We start from the raw sequence: 21,658 nt of genomic DNA, 5'->3' as shown, positions 1-21,658 counted from the left end.
CAATGCACCACTCAATGAGTCTGACCCAGATGCTATAAAAAGCACATTTTCCTTGCAAAGTTAGTGGGTCACACATGAGTTGATCTGTGGATTGCACAGACCTTATATTTGATTTTGGGGGAGCTGATACCGGATTTTTCTGGTTAGTGCTGCTCTCAGCATTTTGCTAAGTAACACTGCACATTGGAGAGATGAGGAGCTTGCTCAGGGCCATGTAACGGGGGTCACCTCAGCAAACCAGCCAGAAACAGAGCGGGGACAGGGCAGAAGTGTTGGGCAGGACAGCTGTTTCAGGGCTCACTTAGCTCAATTCCCTGAGTTTACAACAGCCATCGCCATGTTTTGTAGAATGACCTCCCAGAACTTCCTGCTGTTTTTCTCTAGGCCTGAGCTTGGACAAGCCTTTAGTAAATGCTTGCTGTTGCATTTTATCAGCTCATGTCCTTTTAATTGAGTTACTAATTAATAAGAAAACATTTCTTACATCATCTACATATCTTCTGTGTGACTTTGTTCTGAGCTGTTGGAAATCCTTTTCTAGAGTGGCCTCCAACCACATTTGCTGAAACAGCTGCAACTAGCTGCATTATTCATTTCCCTCTCTTGCTTCATTCTTCTCCATGGCACTTACCACCACTTGATATATTATATATTAATCTGTTAATTGTTTATGTGCACACACGAATATATGCTGTAACAGTGAAGAAAATTGTTCATCTGCATGTTATTCCAAATGCCTAGAAAAGTGCCTTGCAAATAGTAGGTAGATAATAAAGTTTTTATGCAATTAATAATGTAATGAATTTTTATTAATTATATTATTTTAATGCATTTTGATTTGCTAATTCATGTGTTTAAAATACCATGCATACAGATTAAGAGCATGAGTTCTAGGCACAGACAGATTAATTAAATCCTCCTTCTTCCACTTATAAGCTGTGTGAACTTGGGCAATCCTATAACCTCTCTATGTCTAGGCTTTCTCATTAACGTAACAGGATAATAATGCTATAGCTCTCAATAAGTTTGTTTTGAGTATTAAATGGTATATTGTGTTAATATATAAAGCACTGAGAACAATACCTGCGACATGGCACATAAGCACAATGCCTGTGAAATCTCATGTGCTCAATAACTGTTAATAGTCATTACTCATTCATTCAACAAAAACGTATTGAATGTTTACTATAGGCAGATGTTAGAAATACAAGGTGAACAAAACCAAAAATAGACCTTTCCCCTATGGGGCTGTGGATGAGAAAGTTGTCAATCAAAGTGTTAAGAACTGTTGTGTCCCCCCAAATTCATATGTTGATGTCCTAACTCCAATGTGGCTATATTTGGAGATAGGGCCTCTAGGGAGGTCATTACGATTAAAGGAGTTTGGCCGGGCTCGGTGGCTCACGTCAGTAATCCCAGTACTTTGGGAGGCCGAGGCAAGAGGATCATCTGAGGTCAGGAGTTTGAGACCAGCCTGGCCAACATGGTGAAACTCTGTCTTTACTAAAAATACAAAAATTAGCTGGGCGTGGTGGCGGGCACCTGTAGTCCCAGCTACTCTGGAGGCTGAGACGAGAGAATCACTTGAACCAGGGAGGTGGAGGTTGCAGTGAGCTGAGATCGCACCACTGCACTCCAGCCTGGGCAATAGAGCAAAACTCTGTCTCAAAAAAAAAAAAAAAAAAAAGATTAAAGGAGGTCACAAGGGTGACCTAATCTAATCTAATGGGGCTGGTGACCTTATGAGAAGAGGAAGAAGCCGAATGCAGTGGCTCACGCCTGGTAATTCCAGCACTTTGGAAGGCCAAGGTGGGAGGATCACTTGACTTCAGGAGTTCAAGACCAGCTTGTGCAACACAGTGAGACCCTTGTCTCTGCAAAAAAAAAATTAAAAAACACTAGCTGGGTGTAGTTCCAGCTACTCGGCAGGCTGTGGTGGGAGGATCGCTTGAGCCTGGGAGTTCCAGGCAGCAGTGAGCTGTGATCGTGCCACTGCACTCCAGCCTAGGTGACAAAGCAAGAACCTGTCTCAAAAAAAAAAAAAAAAAAAAAAAGAGGAGGGGAAGAGTAAGAGATACCAGAGATTAATACTTCTCTCTCTCTCTCCATCATTCTCTCTCTCTCTCTGTCTCCTTCTCTCTCTCTCTCTCTCTCTCTCCTTCTATCTCCCTCCACCTGTACACAGAGGAAAGGCCATGTAAGGACAGAGCAAACAGGCCACTGTCTGCGAACCAGGAAGAGAGGCCTCACCAGATATCAACCTTCATGGCACCTTGATCTTGATCTTTCCAGAACTGTGAGAAAATTAACTTCTGTTGTTGTTTAAGCTGCCCTCCAACCCCGTCTGTAGTATTTTGTTACGGCAGCCCAAACAGACTAATACATCAAGTAACCACACAAATGCATGTAGAATTAAAACTGACCTAACTGTTAAGAAGAGGAGATAGGGCAAGAGTATATTTATCGAGGGTATTCTATCTGGTCAGAGATGAGAGAGCAAGATTTTTCTGGGTAAAGTTAACAAGGTATATGGGGTGGGGTGAATATGGAGTGGGGAATGGTCCCAGATAGGGCCAATTGCTTGTGCAAAGGCCCTGGGGTGAGAGAGAGCACAGTTTATTAGAGAAACAAAATGGCAGCTGTGTGATTGGGGTGCTAAGAGTGAAGAGGAAGGTGATACAGGTGAGGGTGGAGAAGAGGGTGAGGCCTAACTTCCCAGGACCATGCAGGATTTTCACTGCTAACTTGGGCCACTTGCACACCAGATTGGAGCTGGAAATGGTGGGTATGGGAGACAGAGATCAAAATAACCTCTAGATGTCCACTTGCATAGCTGGTAAGTCACGGGACCATTCATGATAGGGAAGCCCAGGAGAGAACCAGATTTCAAAGAGAAAGTCATGAATTTGCACGTGTCAAGCTTGTTGTGCTTTTGAGTCACTTAGAAAGAGACATTTGTAGGCGGATCTATCTACAAGTCTAGACTCAGACAGAGGCCTGAGTCATGTCATTACACTGACAAGGTGGGAGAGGTGATTCAGGACAGTCGTTCTCAGACTTTGAGTTTCAAGACCCCTTTACACTCTTAAAAACCATCAAGGACCTCAAAGAGCTTCTGTTTATGTGGGTTATATCTATCCATATTTAGTATATTAGAAATTTAAACTGAAAAAATTAATATTAATTTATAATAAACCTGTTTTACCTTAGCATAACATAATGATTTTAACGGAAAATCATTGTAATTTTTCAAACCAAAAAACAAAATATTTGTGGCTGGGCATGGCAGCTCATGCCTGTAATCCCAGCATAATTGCAACACTTTGGGAGGCCGAGGCAGGAGGATCACTTGAGGCCAGGAGTTTGAGACCAACCTGAACAACATAGGGAGACCTTATCTGTACAAAAAAAAAAAAATTAGCCGGGCATGGTGGCACACGCCTGTGGTCCCAGCTACTTGGGAGGCTGAAGTGGGAGGATTGCTTGGGCCTGGGAGGTTGAGGCTGCAGTGAGCCACAATCATTCCACTGCACTCCAGCCTGGCCAACAGAGTGAGACCTTGTCTGAAAAAAGAAAAAAAAATTATGAGAAGAATAGCATTGTTTTACATTTTTGCAAATCAATTTCATAACTGGCTTAATGGAAGAGAGCTGGATTCCTATAGCTACTTCTGCATTGAATCTGTTGTGATACATTGTCCTGATTGAAGCACATGAAGAAAATTTGACCTCAAGGAGGACTTTATGGTCCTCTGGATAGGGCCTTGGGGACCCCCCAGAGTACTTAGACTGCAATTTGAGAACTGCTAATCTAGAGAGATGCTACAGTGTATGAAGAGACGAGAGCTGGGCTCAAGCCTCAAGGAGCACCCACGTTTAATAGTCAGGAAGGAGAGGATAAACAAACAGGTCAGAGAGGAAGCACTCAAAAAGGTAGGAGGGGACCCAGGAGCAGCACCCGTGGCGTCAGGAAGCTAAGGCAGTGCCAGGTATTCAAAGGAAGAGTGGTCGAAGTGCTTCTGAAAAAGTCAAGTCAGAAGAGAAGTGAAAAATATCTTTTGACTCAAAATGTGTTTGTCTGACCAGTTCCATGATCTGAACATACTTACAGGGAAGGGCAGACTGAGAGGGGAATACTGGGGTAAGGATAAAGGTGAGTGTGTCAAAGAGTGATAGTTGCCTCCTCCTCCCATTCATTCTCCTTTTCTATGGTATTAGGATCCTGATTATTTTTTGTTGTTGTTGTTGTTGTTTTATGTTGTTTTATGAAAGAGGATCTTGCTCTGTTGTCCAGGCTGGAGTGCAGTGGTGCACAGCTCAGTGCAGCCTCAAACTCCTGGGCTCAAGCAATCCCCCCGCCTCAGGCTCCCGAGTAGCTAGGACCACCATGGGCTAGGATCTTGATTTTTAACTTATCACATGGCCAACCAGAATAAACAACGACATTTACCCCCTTGCAGGTAGGGGTAGCCAGGAGACTAAGTTCTACAAATGAAGTAGAAGTGGTTTGTAGCTACTTCTGGGAGCCCCCTGAAAGACGGCTGTTCTCTTGGCTACTTTTCATCTCTTCCGCCCTCCCTTTGGCTGTAACACAGACATGATGGCTGGAACTGGAGCAATCATTTAGGCAATGAGGTGACCACAAAACACAGAGGACTGGCAAGACGCAAGGAACCTGGGTCTTGAGGTCTTGGTAGAGCACAGCCACCTCACCAGCCTTGGATTGCCAATTGCTGCCTAAAAAAGAAATGAACTTCCATCCTGTTTAGACCGTGATTATTTGAGCGTCTATTATTCACAGCCAAACTTAATTCTAACTCTTACAGTGAATGAGTGGTTTTATGGATATGAAGTTGAAGGGGTTTTTCTCTAATGGTTTCATTTTCTTTGTGAGGTAGGATGTGAGATCATAGGACGACAGCGAAAGGTTGCAGAGTGAGATCAAAGAGGCAAGTATAAGAGAGTCTGAAATTGCTGTGGCTGGGCGTGGTGGCTCACACCTATAATCCTAGCACTTTGGGAGGTCAAGACAGGAGGATTGCTTAAGCCCAGGAGTTTGAGACAAGCCTGGGTAACATAGTGAGATCCCATCTGTACTACCAAAAAAAAAAAATTAACCAGGTGTGATAGTGGGCTATAGTCCTAGCTACTCAGGAAGCTGAGGCAGGAGGATCGATTGTTTGAGCCCAGGATGTCAAGGCTACAGTAAGCCGAGATCACGACATTGTACTCTAGCCTAAGCGACAGAGCAAGAGCCTGTCTAAAAATAAAAAAAATATTAAAAAAGTAGAATTCTAAGAGTGAGCTAGGGAATAAATCAGGCTAGTCTTGAGTGCCTGTGCTGGATATTCTCTGGTCTCCAACCCAAGTTTTCATTCTTCTCCATCCTGCTGTGGTTCAAGAGCTGATTTTTTTATGCACTTCTTCATTCAAGCTCCCTCCCAGCTCTGTTGGGTTCTTGAGTTTGGTCATCCGGAGGTGCCTGCAGAATAGTTGGGCTGAGCAGAGAGACAGGTTGGGGTAATAGTTTCCTGTTTGTCAGTTGCTGCATTCCTTTACTGAACTGAAGACCGTAGCCCCAGCTACCTGCTAGGCTGCTAAGTTCTGGTAATGTCCCCCCTTCCCCCTGCAGGATGAAAGGTGGAAGCTTGCTGGGTCTCCTTATCCCCACCCACACCTTTGTAAATCTTCCTTTTCTTCTTTCTTTTTTCTTTTTTTTTTTTAATAGAGACTGGGTCTCACTATGTTGCCCAGGCTGTTCTCAAACTCCTGGCCTCAAATGATCCTTCCCACTTCAGCCTCTCAAAGTCCTGGGATTACAGGCATGAGTCACAATGCCCAGCCTTCCCTTTCTTAAGCCTTCCTCAGTTACCCTTTCTAAGTGTGTCATCTGTTTCCTGATGGGACCTTGCCTGGTACTAGGGCCATCTGAGGTTGGAGATCACAATTTATGGTAAAATCAATAGGTCTTGTGGTTTGACTTCCCTTGCTGTACCAAGATGCCCAGGTGTAAACAGAGAAAGCAAGTTATAGTTTAGCCAGCTGCATACACCATGAGGAGAGTCAAGTGAGCTACCAAATTGGCAGCTAATATTGAAATGATGTAAGCTGATGATGGAGGAAGTGAAGAAAGGATATGGTAGAGGGCCTGGGAGGGAGCAGAGGAGTTATCCTGCTCCTTACTGGAGGATCTGGCGGATCAAAAGGCAGGGACCCTGGAGTGGGCAGGAGAAGATGAACCACAAACTAGAGGTTGAGAAAGCATGGTCAGAGAGTGAGATACTTGAATTAGTGAAAACAGAACTGGTCAGACAGAGCTGAAACCCATTTAGGGCCTTTATATGTCCCCAGGGCAATTACTATGAACAGGGGACACTACACAGGGAAATTAAAGAAGAAAAATATTGTTCTCCTCTCTGGAGGACTTAACAGTTGAACTAGGAAGGCAGATGAACAGTGCACATAAAATGCCAACTGAATGGAACAGAGTATAAAAAGATGTTCAGAGGAGGAAGCCTCCCCCAAGGCTGGCCCATTCTGAAAGATGTGGATGTCTTAGTCCCTTGTCTGTTGCTTATAACGGAATACTTGAAACTGGGTAATTTATAAAGAAAAGGAATTTATTAATTTATTTCTTACAGTTGTGAAGACTGGGAAGTTCAAGGTTGAGGGACTGCATCTGGTGAGGACCTTCATGCTTGTGGCAGGGGGACTTCCTGCAGAGCCCCAGGGAGATGCAGGACATCAAATGATGAGGAGGCTGAGCGTGCTTGCTCAATTCCCCCTTCTTCTTCTTATAAAGCCACTAGTGCCTCTCCTCTGATAACCTATTAATTCATGAACCCTCTAATCTATTAATCCATTTTTATGACCAGAGCCTTTATGACCCAATCATCTCTAAAAGGCCCCACCTCTCAATAATGGGATTTACGTTTTAACATGACTTTTGGAGGGGACAAACTTTCAAACCATAGCAGTGGAGGAGGTAGGACTCGATAAAAGCTTTGAAAGAAGGGAGCCTTTGGGTCTGAGAGAGCTGGGTCACTTTAGGCAGGGAGGTTGTGTGAGCTACAGGGCCAGGCATGCGCAAGGAGTTTTGGAATGAACCAGATTAGTAGGAGGGCAGAGTCTGTGGAGAGGAACACAAAAAGAAAAAACCAAGAGATGTGTCAGGGGCCCCCAAGACCATCTCTAGAATTGATGACTTTCTAGAAGGATTCACAAGACTCAGAAAACAGTCATACTCACAGCTGTGATCCATTCCAGCAAAAGCATGCAAAACAAAATCAGCAAAATGCATGGGGCAAAGTCAGGAGGAAACCAGACACAAGCTTCCAAGAGTCCTCTTGGAAGTTACCAGGATGTAGTTAATTCCTACAGCAGCAAATTATGACAACACCTATGAAGTGTTGTCTACCAGTACCAGTCTCATTAGTGACTCAATGTTCAAGATTTTTATTGAGAGCTTGTCACCTAGGGACCCACTTTCTAGCAGTACAGAAATTCCAGACTCCAGGAGGGAAAGCAGGTGTTCAGCAGGAACCACACTGATTGCACAGTTTAAGCATATTGAGCACCACTTCTCAGATAGGGAACGGCAGGAGCCCTTCCCAAATCCAGGTTTCCTGGTGCCAGCCAAGGGCCAACCTTGCAAGCAAGCCTTTCTAAGGGTAGCAGTCTCAGAACTGGTGCATTAAACTCTTCTCCACAAGGAGTTAGTAAGGGATTGTCCTAGGAGGACTTTAGACACTAGCTCAAGGGGATTGGGCTTCATCCTGTGTACCGGATGAAAGGCTATACATTAGAAAGACTCATGGGAAAAAGGGTGGGCCAGTCTGGAAGTGATGTGTAGCATGTTGAAGTAAGAATCACTGGAAGAGGCCAGGTGTGGTGGATCCGCGACCGTAATTCCAGCACCTTGGGAGGCTGAGGCAGGAGGATCACTTGAACCCAGGAGTTCAACAGTGGGGCAACAAAGCAAGACCCCATCTCCACAAAAATAAAAAATCATAAAAATAATTTTTAAAAAGAATGATTGGAAGAAAGAAAAGGCAAGAGAGGAGAGCAAATGGCTGAGCCTGAATGGTGGTGGTTAGCATGGGGACAGTTGTTCATGTTTGGAAGATCCCCAGTAATAGGGGGCTCAGAGAGGTGCTGAGTCCTAGAGTAGAACCAAGTTATTAAGCAGAAAATATAGGAAGAAAAACTTAGACTGAATTCTAATTTTACCAGGACCTCCAGACACTTGACCCTGGGGATCACCCCCCACAGGGAATGGGTGGGACTTAAGGCCAGCACATTTGCATCGATGATAACAGTAACTCACACCTACATAGCACTTTGGAGTTTACAAAGTGTTTTTTGCATATACTGCATTCTAAGGGCAGGTAGTCAACTTGTATAGCTCATAGAGCTGAGACGTGCCAGGGCCAGACCTGAGCTCTGGGTTGTAGCAGGAGCAAAGAGGATTTTCAAAGTTATTTCCAAAAAAGAGTCCCTATTGGAAGCACCGATTCTAGTACTGCTGTGTAAGGTTTTCCCTCAATGGTGGGTATGCTGAGGGCCCACCCTTGCACCAGCTCAGCCTCTGTCTGCCATGCTTCAGAGCATTTAATTTACTCTCCCTGCGGGCACTCTCATTTCAGCTTGCCCTGAGGACTTTTCTGACACTCCACCTTCAGGCCTGCACAGTCTGGTGGTGTTGAGTCACGGGAACTTAACTGATGGGCACGGCCTAGGCAGAAGGAGCTGGCTCATAAACCTTTAAGCCTTCCTACTGTGCTCTCACCGTTGGCCCCAACTTCTCTTTTCACTAGGCTGGTCCTTCTCAAACCATATTCTAAGGATCTCAGTAGGCATCCTGTAGGGGAAAAAAAGTTCTACGCTTTTAAAAAAGGAAGCACTGGAGATTACATATACTTATAATTATTTTCAACAGCAGGATTTCTCAGAGCCTTTAACATGGAACATGCAATATGCATTTTTAAGAGGGAGATTACAGCCATGGTGTTTTAGAAGATCTGATAAATGCTCTGTGCTGTGAGATGCTCTCACATCTTCTATGTGAGAAGATGGAAAGGGATTGTTAGTCTAAATGATGAGCTCCATCTGCCTTGTCATTGCTGGGTTCCTAGTGTGTAAATATTGGTTAAATCAATGAATTGAATGATCTCGAATTGAATCAATGAACTGAATGATCACAGAAGTGCCACTGGCCCTTCTGTGCTGGTGGGGCTAAAACAGGTGATGCTAAGTTTTTCTTTTCTTTTCTTCTCTTTTTTGAGACAGAGTTTTGCTCTTGTTGCCCAGGCTGGAGTGCAATGGCATGATCTTGGCTCACGGCAACCTCTGCCTCCTGGGTTCAAGCAATTCTCCTGTCTCAGCCTCCCAAGTAGCTGGGATTACAGGCATGCGCCATCACGCCCGGTTAATTTTTGTGTTTTTTTGTTTGTTTGTTTGTCTGTTTTTTAGTAGAGACAGGGTTTCCCCATGTTGGTCAGGCTGGCCTTGAACTCCTGACCTCAGGTGATCTGCCTGCCTCGGCTTCCCAAAGTGCTGGGATTACAGGCATGAGCCACCACACCCAGCTGATGCTAAGTATTATCTCCAGATCCCAAAGCACAGGCCAGTGATACGTCTTCTCTTAACGGTCTGAGAGTATTACTAATGATTAATGATGACGTTTTTCAAGTTTTTATATTGTGCATAGTCTCTGTTTCTTCCAAGTTATTTTTTCTTCTGTTTTCCTTGGTGCTGGTTCCTCTTCTGTCCATCGTGTTTTAGGCTTTTCTCAAATATCCAGTGATTCTTTGCAATCTGTTTATATTTAAGAATTGGAAACTAAAAAGATGATTTTGTATTCTGCTGGAGGTGAAGAAAGCCAACTGTGAGCCTCATGATGCTGTGGCCTAACTGGGCCATTTCACTGGGAGACCTTCAGTGTTGGTGTCTTTGGGTCTTTTCTCTGGGTCTTTTCAACCTTGATAGCGAGGAGACTTCCAATCTCTTACTTGTGTGATAGGACCCCAACTGCCAGCGTTCTCAGAGTCCAGCTGGGGGCAGCACTGGAGCTTCCTTCATTTACCATGGAGACTTTCCCTTTTTTAAAAAAAATAAGATGGATCATTTTATTATTATTAGTTAATTTATTATTTAATGAAGACAAGATCTTGCTCTGTCACCCAGGACAGGATCTTGCTCTGTCACCCAGGCAGGAGTGCAGTGGTTAGATCATAGCTCACTGCAGCTTCCAACTCCTGGCCTCAAGAAATCCTCCTGCCTTGGCCGCCCAAAACGCTGGGATCACAGGCATGTGCCACCCTGCCCTGCCAAGACTTTCACTTTATCTCACTGTTTTCAGTACAGGTACCACCCTCAACTGTGTCTGGAGCCCTCTGGTTCAGACATCACTTTTACCCTCACCAAGAATAAATCTCTAATTTCTGACAAAGTATAGAAGTGCAAATGTCCCATCTGTATGAACCAGGGAAGGGGATTTGAGGTCTAACTGCTTCTTCAGATCAACTGAAATGATCTTTCAAGATTGTCCGATTTTTCAACCCTCTTCACTCCCACTTCCAGAGGTACCTTGTTTTGCCAATTCCTGAGCTTTGTGAAGGCTCTGAGGTGCAAAAATTTTGTTTCTTGGGTTTTTGCCGCTGGTTTGGGATTTGGCTTTCTCATGCCTGCTAAGTCAGTTACTGCTTATCCTTCTGCTTTTCAGCTTCTGATATTTGGTTGCTATTTTGTTCCTTGAAAAATATTTCTTTTTCTAGAGACGAAGTCTCACAATGTTGCCCAGGTTGGTCTTAAAATCCCGGGCTCGAACAATCCTCCTGCGTCAGCCTCCCGAGTAGTTGGGATGACAGCCATGCACCACCATGCCCAGTTTGACTGCTATTGACTCTTTCCCGTTCTTTTAGGTCCTGCGTGTCTGTATGTTTTTCAAATATCTCTTCTACCCCACCATATCCCCGTCACTTCAGTGGGGATGTAGGATGCAGAACATGTCATTGTGTACGTTTATCCTCACATCCTCACACTTTCTTTTTTCTTTCTTTTTTTTTTTTTTTTTTTGAGGGAGAGTCTTGCTCTGTCGCCCAGGCTGGAGTGCAGTGGTGCAATCTCGGTTCACTGCAACCTCCGCCTCCCAGGTTCAAGCAATTCTCCTGCCTCAGCCTCCTGAGTAGCCGGGACTACAGGCGTGTGCCACCATGCCCGGCTAATTTTTCTAACTTTAGTAGAGACAGGGTTTCACCATGCTGGACAGACTGGTCTCAAATTCCTGACCTCAAGTGAACCACCCACCTCGGCATCCCAAAGTACTGGGACTACAGGCATGAGCCACCATGCCTGGCCTATCTCCCCACCTTCAACTAAAGGGCTTGACCTCTCATGGCCGTTCCTGTTCTTCCCTGGTTCCCACTCTCACCATCTCCCACCTGGATGATTGTCACAGTATTTCAAGCCACCCTGGTCCAAACTTGCCACACTTAGCTCATTCTCTAAACTGCAGTTAAATTGCTCTATGACTGAATGATCATGGGAAGGCCTGGGCCCTTTCTCCTCCCCTCCTCTCTACCAATCTTGGCATCAAACACATCAGCAAGCCATGGTAACTCACCTGTCACTCCCTGAACACATAATGCTGTTCTTTTCTACATGATCTTGTTTCTGCTCCTCCCTCTGCCTTGTGGGGCTTTTTTACAATTTTTCACCTGGCTAACTCTTACTCAACCTTTGAAATTTAGCTCTGGTGCCATATCCTCTAGGAAAGGTACCTCTGAATCCCCAGACTAAGTGAAGGTTTGAGTGCGGACAGCCTTGGAGAATGGGAGAGAATGAGGAAAAACCTATCAAGGAGAAATTCCCTAGACTAAGCATGACTGTGAGGTGAAAAAGCAATGGTGTCTTACATTCAGGTTCAAGTTCTTTTGTGTTATCTGCTGCTCAGGAAGCTCCCTCTTTTTCCTCAAAGAGTCAGCAACATAAGAGTGACTTAGTGGCCTTGAGTTCCTCGTGATTTCGCATTGAAGGAGAGGAGAATGATTGGTGCTTAGGGAGAAGCTGTGCTGGGAACACATTTCAGTCATAGGCAAGTGGGCAAATGGACAAGGTAGGAGAATAAAGTCCCCTCCTCCTGCATCCATACTGAGAATTAAAATTAAAAAAAAAAAAAAAAAAACATAGGGATGGAATCACTAGGCATGGTGGCTCATGTCTGTAATCTCAGCACTTTGGGGGGCCAAAGTGGGAGGATCACCTGAGCCCAAGAGTTCAAGACCAGCCTGGGCAATGTAATGAGACCCTATCTCTACAAAAAAAGTAGATTAAAAATTTTAGCCGGGCATGGTGGTGAGTGCCTGTAATCCCAGTTACTTGGAAGGCTGAGACAGGAGGATTGCAGGACCCCAGGAGTTGGAGGTTGCAGTGAGTTATGATTGCACCACTGTACTCCAACTTAGGTGACACAGTGAGACCCCTCTTTCAAAAGAAAAAAAAATCATAGGGAAAATATTGAGATACATAATTAAGCCATTTAATTTGGACATAAAAAAAGGCAGAGCTAGAAGTCTAGAGGATTTTTGAACGTCTAGTCTGTTAATTATAATAACACTAAGAGAAGATTTTATTTATTTATTTATTTATTTAATTTTATTGTTTTTGAGACAGAATCTCACTCTGTTGCCCAGGCTGGAGTACACTGGTGCAATCTCAGGTCACTGCAACCTCTGCCTCCCAGGCTTGTGCCTCAGCCACCCAAGTAGTTGGGATTATAGCTGTGCGCCACCATGTCCAGGTAATTTTTTGTATTTTTAGTAAACACAGGGTTTCTCCATGTTGGCCAGGCTGGTTTCGAACTCCTGGCCTCAAGTAATTCACCCACCTCTGCCTCCCAAAGTGCTGGGATTACATGCGTGAGCCACCATGCCTGGCCAAGAGAAAATTTAAAGGAAAGAATGAGTTCATTCATAATCCCACCTCCCTAATATAATCGTTTTTTGGTTTTTTGTTTTTATGTTCTGTTTTCCCTTTCATTCTTTGACTATTATAACTGCAGGCATTTTTACATGGCTTTTACTCACAGGACATAAGTAATTTTGCGTGTTCCTTTTATGAGGTTATACATAGTCTTCGTAATCTTTCATATGAATCATTATCCCCTTTGTATAAAGAGGAGAAATTGAGGAAATTGAGCCTTAGAACCTTGCTGTTTGTCGTCATACCAAATTAAAGGCTAATGTCCCTTTGTCAGAGAGGCAAGTCCTTGGGGTGGAGTATTCGGTGGTTATGCTCCATCCCCTCAAATATCCCAGCTCTCCAGACGCATGATTACATAAGTACATTTTGGTGATGGGAGTTATGGGATCAGAGGGGCAGTCTGTGGCCACAGAGGAGAGAAGGTGTCACAAGCCAAACTCATGATCTTGGGCACATTAGTCTCAGTAACTTATTAACTGAGCTAAGCAGTTTGAAAAGAAATAAAAGCAAAAGAAAACAAGCCAAAGTACAAACCGTATCAAGCTTTAGAGTCTGAAGACTTATGAAAAGGGATCAACAATATAGTAGTAAATGAGACAGTGTTGACGCCAAGATAGGTAGGGGTGCAATTAAAATTCATTAAGACACAACAAGAAACTCTAGTCCAGGCTTGTTGCAGGTAAAAGGGACTTTGCCAATGAATTATTCAAGAAGAATTGAGCTGAATGAGGGAATCCTCTCTTGGGTTGGCAATGGTTCAGACTTACTTCGAACTTTCTCCCCAGGTAAGAGTATAACAAAAGTAACTAAGAAGCGTGTTCCTTTGTTACTTGAGCACTTTGTGTGTGGTTCAAACCACCCTGGCATTAGTCTTCCTATTATAGCCTGAACCTTTCCTAGTGATTTAAGAAAAAGAATATTAATAATATAATATTTTATTTAAAAATTAATAACAAGTTTGAGTCAAGTTTGTGGAACCCATGTGAACTCTTCTTTCTATTATTTGAAGCAAAATTTTAAAACCATATTAATTAACCCAACAGTTTTGAGCACATTTTTGAGGGGCCAAATGCAGTGCCCGTTTCAGTGATATAAAAATACATAAGGCTTTTTCCTCAAGATAATCATAATCTAGTGGCTTAATTATTCATCCTCACATTTTCTTGTGATTTAAAAAAAAATATTAGCATGGATACAGGTGGTAGAGATTTTATTCTCCTGTCCATTCTCAGCACAGCTTAGATCTACACATATACAACTTAGAGCAGTGCGACCTGGCACACTCCAACAGTGGTGGGGCACTTTCCCAAGAACACAACGACACTTCCAGCCTTTGTTCCCATGGTGCGACCCCCTTTCCTTTTCATTTATCTAGACTATACGCAGCCCTTTTTCTTTTTCTTTTTCTTTTTCTTTTTTTTTTTTTTTGAGACAGGGTCTTGCTCTGTTGCCCAGGCTGGAGTGCAGTGACACCATTATAGCTCACTGCAGCCTTGAAATCCTGGGCTCATGCAATCCTCCTGCATCAGCCTCCCAAGTAGCTAGGACTACAGGTATGTGCCATCACGCTGGCCTATTTTTTTGTATTTCGTAGAGACAGGGTCTCACCATGTTACCCAGGCTGGTGTTGAAATCCTGACCTCAAGAGATCCTCCTGCTTTGGGCCTCCCAAAGCGCTGGACTTACAGGCATGAGCCAAGGCACCTGGCATATTCAGTCTTTATGTCCTGGCTCTGCATCAGCTTTTCCATGAAATACTCACTGGAGATTCCTCCTTAGGGATCTCTTTTCTTTCTTAGAATTTAACTTTCTTCACGCTTCCGACATCATTTGAAGTTTTCAAGCTACAAATCAGCACTTTATTATAGACTATTTTGTATGAAACAGTGTCATTTTCCATGCATTAGTTTTGTCTTCTCAATTAATATGCCAGAAAGCAACACCTTACCTCTGTCTTCCCTCCTGCACCTAACTCAAGGCTAAATACTTACTGTGTGATTGGGCCTGCCATTCTAATTTTGCTACCTTTGTTTCTAAAATCCTAATTGTTGAGTTCTCCCATCGATATCTGATGGCCAATTTATTTCATAATGGTAATTTATTTTGTCACATCTGGATCGCTGATTTCTTAGTTAAATTTAAATGAGCCTTACATTTTTAGCCTAGATGTAATATTTCAAATCTAATACTGTCATTACATAATCACTAATACATTCTATTAGGAACGTGATTTTTACATTATGTTTGCAGCGATATAATAAATATTAAGTATCTGTGCTATGTATCCAGCCATATTTTGTTGTGAAATAAAAGGGTACATTTGGTTATAAGAGAGGAAGTAACAATTAGAAACTACTTCCACTATTTTCTTTATTTATATTAATTCTTGTGCTTTAAAGTACTTGTTGGCCGGGTGCAGTAGTTCACGCCTGTAATCCCGGCACATTGGGAGGTCGAGGCAGGTGGATTGCTTGAATCCAGAAGTTCAAGACCAGCCTGGGCAACATAGTGAGACCCAGTCTCAACACAAATTTTAAAAATTATCCAGGCATGGTGGTGCATGCCTGTAGTCCCAGCTACTCAGGAGGTTGAAGTGGAAGGATCGCTTGAGCCCAGGAGGTTGAGGCTGTAGTGAGATGTGATCCTGCCACTGTGCTCCAGCCTGAGCAACAGAGTGAGACCCGGTTTAAAAAAAAATAAAAAAATATTTAAAAGCACTTGTTGCTGCAGTTTTGCAGTGAATTCTAAGAATAGATTTCTCCTGCTGTCCTGTCTCTGGATTTGATTTCTTTCCTGCTTTTGTGCTTGGGTCCTCTTCAACTCTGACTAGACTTTCAATATTGCATTCATCAGAGACTCATTTGTGGGATCCTGAGCAAATTACTCCATTCAACTGAACTTTCTCTGAGCTTAATTTTCACTTATGAAAAAGGGATGATAATATTATTGCACAAAGTTGAGTTAAAAATGCATAAGATAGAAACATTTTCTGAATCTTAAGAACCTATACAGATATCAGATATCATCATCATCATCATCATCATGATTACCATTTATTATCATCATCACTATCTTGGAATTTGCAAAGTTGTTTAAGAAGTATGGCTTGATAGGACACTGGTAGTGTGTCCTATTACTACCTAGTTACTACTAGTGGTCAGCTATGTCATTTTCCTTCTCCTTCCTGAGCACTTGGAAGAATAAACTTTCCAGTTCCCTTTGCTGTTTGGTGGAACGATGGGACTCTGATCAGTGAAGAGTGGAAGGGGTCAAGGCATTTAATTTCCGGTACCTGACTCTTTTTTCTTCCCTTGGTAAAGTGGCCCAAGAGGTCTGTGTTTTGTGTTTTGGATACTGCTGCTGCTACAAGAGAATGAGGCTTCTATCATCTGGGTCCCTGAGTAGTTGCGTGGAGTGGAACTCACTGTCAACTCTGTGGGACTTGTAGTGTGAATGAGAAACTAATTTTTCTTGTGTTGAGTCACTGCAATTTGAGATTGTTTATTATTGCAACATAACATAGCCTATCATGACTAATACACTATTATGGGCCTCAGGATAAAGAAATTCCAGATCTAGGTATGGCCTAACTACCTATATATCCTTGAGCAAGAGGAATAACATATACTATCTTTTTTTTTTCTTCTTTTACCCAAAAAAATATGTGTAGAGACAGTCTCACTATGTTGCCCAGGCTGGTCTTGAACTTCTGACCTCAAGCCATCCTCCTGCCTTGGCCTCCCAAAGTGTTAGGATAACAGGCATGAACCTAATGTGTTGGGATTACTGGCATAGTTTCCCCACGCCTAGCCCTTTAAAAAAAATAGACATGAGGTCTTACTATGTTGCCCTGGCTGGTCTAAACTCCTGGGTTCAAGTGATCCTCCTGCCTCAGTCTCCCCAAGTGCTGGAATTACAGGCATGAGCCATCACACGCAGCAAAGTATACTATCTTGAAGGTCCCTTCAGCTCCAAAAACTTTGGCATTGCAACAATCCAAAGCTGTCCTATGTCAATGACGAAGAAATGTGAACTTTTGTTCAATGGAAAAAGTAACTTCAGCTATATCAAACCACCCCCCAAAGAAGGAATCAAGCTAGAAATAACTAAAAGTTCAGAATTGAAATAACATTTTTAAATTGTTTCATGCACATACCTGCCTTTTTAAGAGAGTATATTAAACCTAGTTACATTAAAAGTAGTCAGTGAGTCATGGTCATTATTATGAACCTTAGTTAAAATAACTAAATAACACTGTAAAAGACAGTGATGTCCTCAGGGCCAGTGACAAACAAAGGTTTATTTGCTTCTTGCAATGGTCTAGACTTCTCGTGTTATTTAAATTTCAGTTTTGGATTTCTATAGTCTTTCAATGCCTTTGTGCATTACATTTTTTTAAATGACAGGATCTTGCTCTGTTGCCCAGGCTAATCATGAACTCCTGGCTGCAAGTAATCCTCCCACCTTGGCCTCCCAAAGTGTTGAAATTACAGGTGTGAACCACAGCGACCAGCCCATTACTTCTCATTGCTGTCAATGGACTGATTGTCTACAATAGCCCAACTCCCCACTTTAACTGTAGAAAGTTAAGAAGGAGGAGGAGGAGAAGGGGGAGGAGGAGGAGGAGAAGAAGAGGAGGAGGAGGAAGAAGAAGAAGAAGAAGAGGAAGAAGAAGAAGAAGAGGAAGAAGAAGAAGAGGAAGAAGAAGAAGAAGAAGAGGAAGAGGAAGAAGAGGAAGGAAGAAGAAGAAGAAGAAGAAGAAGAAGAAGAAGAAGAAGAAGAAGAAGAAGAAGAAGAAGAAGAAGAAGAAGAAGAAAAAAAAAGGAAAGCCAACCTCACATTCTGTGGGAATTGAACATACTGAAAAAGATATAGGGCCTGAATAAGAGGTTAAGAAGACTTCCTAGAAGTAAAGCAAATAAGTTTTAGGCATGAACTCTGTAGACTCTATGGGTGCCCATCTTTTTGCCAAATTTTTACTCTCACAAATATTGCACGAAGATGAATTTCCAAGATGACTAAACTCCGGCTAGACAGTGTGTTAATGTATTTGATTTTCTGCAGCAACCCAGCAGCACAGATTCATAATTAAATTGCTAATGTGTGTTTGAAAGCTTTAGAGATACTTCTTCAGCCATCAACAAAACTAACATTGTCAGAAGAACTGAAATAATTTGCTCCTCATGACAGTTTGGTGAGACAAGAAGGCAAAATAATTAAGTATGGAGGCTCTGGAGCAGAATTGTCTGTGCTCAAAGCCTGCTTTTACCCCTTGCAAACTGTATGAACTTGGGCAAGTAAATCAACCTCCTGTGTCTCCACTTTCTCATTTCTAAATTGGGGGTAATCCTGTTCTTGCAAGGGTGGGCTGCTCTCTGAACTATTTTAGCTCACCCACATTTGTTAAACATCTTTTTTAAAACAAATTTTTTTTTTTTTTCAAAATAGGGTCTTGCTCTGTCACCCAAGCTGGAGTTCAGTGGCTTGATCACAGCTCACTGCAGCCTCAACCTCCTGGGCTCAAAGTGTCCTCCCACCTTAGCCTCCTCAGTACCTAGGACTACAGGTGCACACCATCACACCTGGTAGTTTTTGTGTTTTCTGTGGAGGCTGAAAGGGTTTTGCTGTGTTTCCCAGGCTGGTCTCGAACTCCTGAGCTCAAGCCATCTGCCTGCCTTGGCCTCCCAAGGTGCTGAAATTACAGGCATGAGCCACCACACCCAGCCTCTTGAACATCTTTAAATTCACGAATGCAAGCCCAATTCTAACATTTATTGTGCCAGTCAATAGGCCACTACATTCACCAATAAAAACCCATTTCTGACAGTCAGTAAATTAATTAGCACAGGGCAGCTTGTTCATCAATATTCAATTCACAGCAGAGCTTGGTGTAGTCCTTTTTATAATGCGGGCTTCCTGATTCTAGCAACAGTGAATGGGCCATCTCAGAACCATACATTCCTGATTGGCACGTTGGTTATAGCATAATCTACGTAACAGACGTGTAATACCTTTTAGTGTAGACTGAAGAATGCCCAGGTAGATTAACAGACATGGTAACAATAACAAACTTGGGTTTCACACTACCGTATTCTATGTCTAACATTCCTCTCTAGTTCTCAAAATTGCTAAATTTGAATTTTAGTACTACATTTCTGAGACAGAGTTTGAAGCTGCAGGATGATAAAGGGCGCTTAATATCGCAGATGCAGAAGTGTTAATAAGAGAGCCATGCTGACTGCCTGGTAAAGTGTGACTTGGTGGTACCTTGTGGGGATGCCTTGACTCTGAGTCTAGTCCTCATGTAGACAGCTCTAAACACTGTATTTTATCAGTTTATTCAGGTGAGACTACAGGGGAACATTCACACTAGCCAAAATCACATTTGCTGTCTAGATCAAGACTTTCTTGGCATCTATGTACCCAAGAACATGAATTAGTTATTTGCATGTTGCCCTGTGACACTAGAAAAAGAACAGAGAGAACCAGATGGTCCTACGGGCACTTTATCCAAGTTATTGTGGAAAAACCTCACGAATGTCCTGCTTCTCAAGAGAGTAGATCCTTCTAGGGTCTGATTAAATGGGGCCCCAGGAAGGATCTCTGCCTGATAAATTCTTATTAACTACCTTATTCACTGATTCTAAGATATACAGTTTTTCACTTTTTTTTGACGGGGGAGGGGGGGTTGCCTACAGAGTCTCTGTCGCCCAGGCTGGAGTGCAGTGGTGCAATCTCAGCTCACTGCAACCTCTGCCTCCCAGGTTCAAGTGATTCTCCTGCTTCAGCATCCCAAGTAGCTGGGATAACAGGTGCATGCCACCACACCTGGATAATTTTTGTATTTTTAGTAGAGATGGGGTTTTGCTATGTTGGCCAGGCTGGTCTCAAACTCCTGGCCTCAGGTAATCTGCCCACCTGGGCCTCCCAAAGTGCTGGGATTACAGTGTGAGCCACTGTGCCTGGACAGTTTTTCACATTTCTAACATAAAATTTTGGTGTATCATTTTGGTATATCCTTGAAATTGTAGTGTATCATATAGCCCATGGTGTGTCAAGGTATAATCATAGTTGGCAAGTGTTTTTTTCTAAGTGGCACAGAAAATAAAGACACATCCTAAAGGATGCAATCTTAGACGGCATGAAATATGGTGACTGCCCTTGTATTACTCTCCAGACTTTGACTTGTCCTGAACCGCCTCACCCTAAATTCCAATATGTGGGTGACAGTTTTCCTAGGTTATGTTCTAGGCACTAGGATCCACTCTGGTCATTTGAACAGACTGGAGATCGCCCAAACTTCCCTCAGCAGTAAGTTTACAAATTCTCTCTCAGGTGGGCTCACTTCTGCAGACAGCTAAGCCCTACCATTTATTTATGTATTTATTTATTTATTTGAGATGGACTCTTGCTCTGTCATCTAGGCTACAATATGATGGCACGAACACAGCTCACTCTATCCTTGACTTCCCAAGCTCACGTGATCCCCCTGCTGCACCCTCTTGGGTAGCTGGGACTCTGGGTTCTTGGCTAATTTGAAAAAAAAATTTTTTTTTTTTTTTTGGCAGAGATGGGGTCTCCCTATGTTGCCCAGTCTAGTCTTGAACTCCTGAGCTCAAGCAATCCTCACCTTGGCTTCCCAAAGTGCTGGGATTACAGGCCCAACCCACCCCTGCCATTTTCTTCACGTTCACTACTATTTCTTTCTCTCTTTTTAATTTTTTGTAGAGACAGAGTCTCAATGTTGCCCAAGCTGGCCTCTAGCTTCTGGGCTCCGCCCACCTTGGCCTTCCAAAGTGCTGGGATTACAGGCGTGAGCCACACGCGGGCCTGCTCTCTTTTAAACAGTGATGATCTAAACTTAGCTCCAAATAGAGGAAATCCTTTACTCCAGTGCTCAAGGACATTTGGCGGCAAGGATCCAAATTCCACATCCACAGTTGCGCCTGCCCCAAACCCCCTACTGGGCTTGTCATCTTGGTTTTCAGCTTTAGTCGGCTGACAAATGCTTATTGATAGACTTTCACAGAGTGGATATGCTGTCTCACAGCAGCAAAATTTAAGACATTAAAATGATCTAGTCTCAGGAGTTTTGCCATAAAGGATTTAGTAGCATTATATTGCCCTGGCTAAGAGCCTTACTATGTCCTTCCAAAGACTTTATTTAAGAACTTTGGTTGTGGATGAAGCATGACATAAAACAAGTTTACATAACAGAGCCTCCACCACATAATCATATATTATAGCTGGTGATAAAAGAAAAATAAGCACTTCGCATGTGATGACGCTCTAGAAAGAATTTAAATTACAAACCTAAACTGAAACCTCTTGGCTCTTATTAGACTATAGAACTGATACTACCCAACTGGAATACATAAATTACTATGTTTAGAGTCAGCACTTGACTCTTAATCAAATTCTCATGCTAGTTAATCTGAGATGTTATCACTTTTAATAACTGGTAGGCGATATTTTTATATAAATACATATTCTATTTATACCTGTGGTATGTCAGAGAAGCACTTCAAATTTTAAAATTGTGCCTGAAGTCCTATTAACTGAACAAGTAAAAACAATGTTAACTTATGAAATGTTCAATTTTTTAAAATTGAAATCTTTATTTATTTATTTATTTTGAGACAGGGTCTCACTCTGTCGCCCAGGCTGGAGTGCAGTGG

Source organism: Homo sapiens, chromosome 10, assembly GCF_000001405.40.
Source record: "Homo sapiens chromosome 10, GRCh38.p14 Primary Assembly".
Taxonomy (NCBI): Eukaryota; Metazoa; Chordata; class Mammalia; order Primates; family Hominidae; genus Homo; species Homo sapiens.
Note: the sequence above shows the minus strand (reverse complement) of the source record.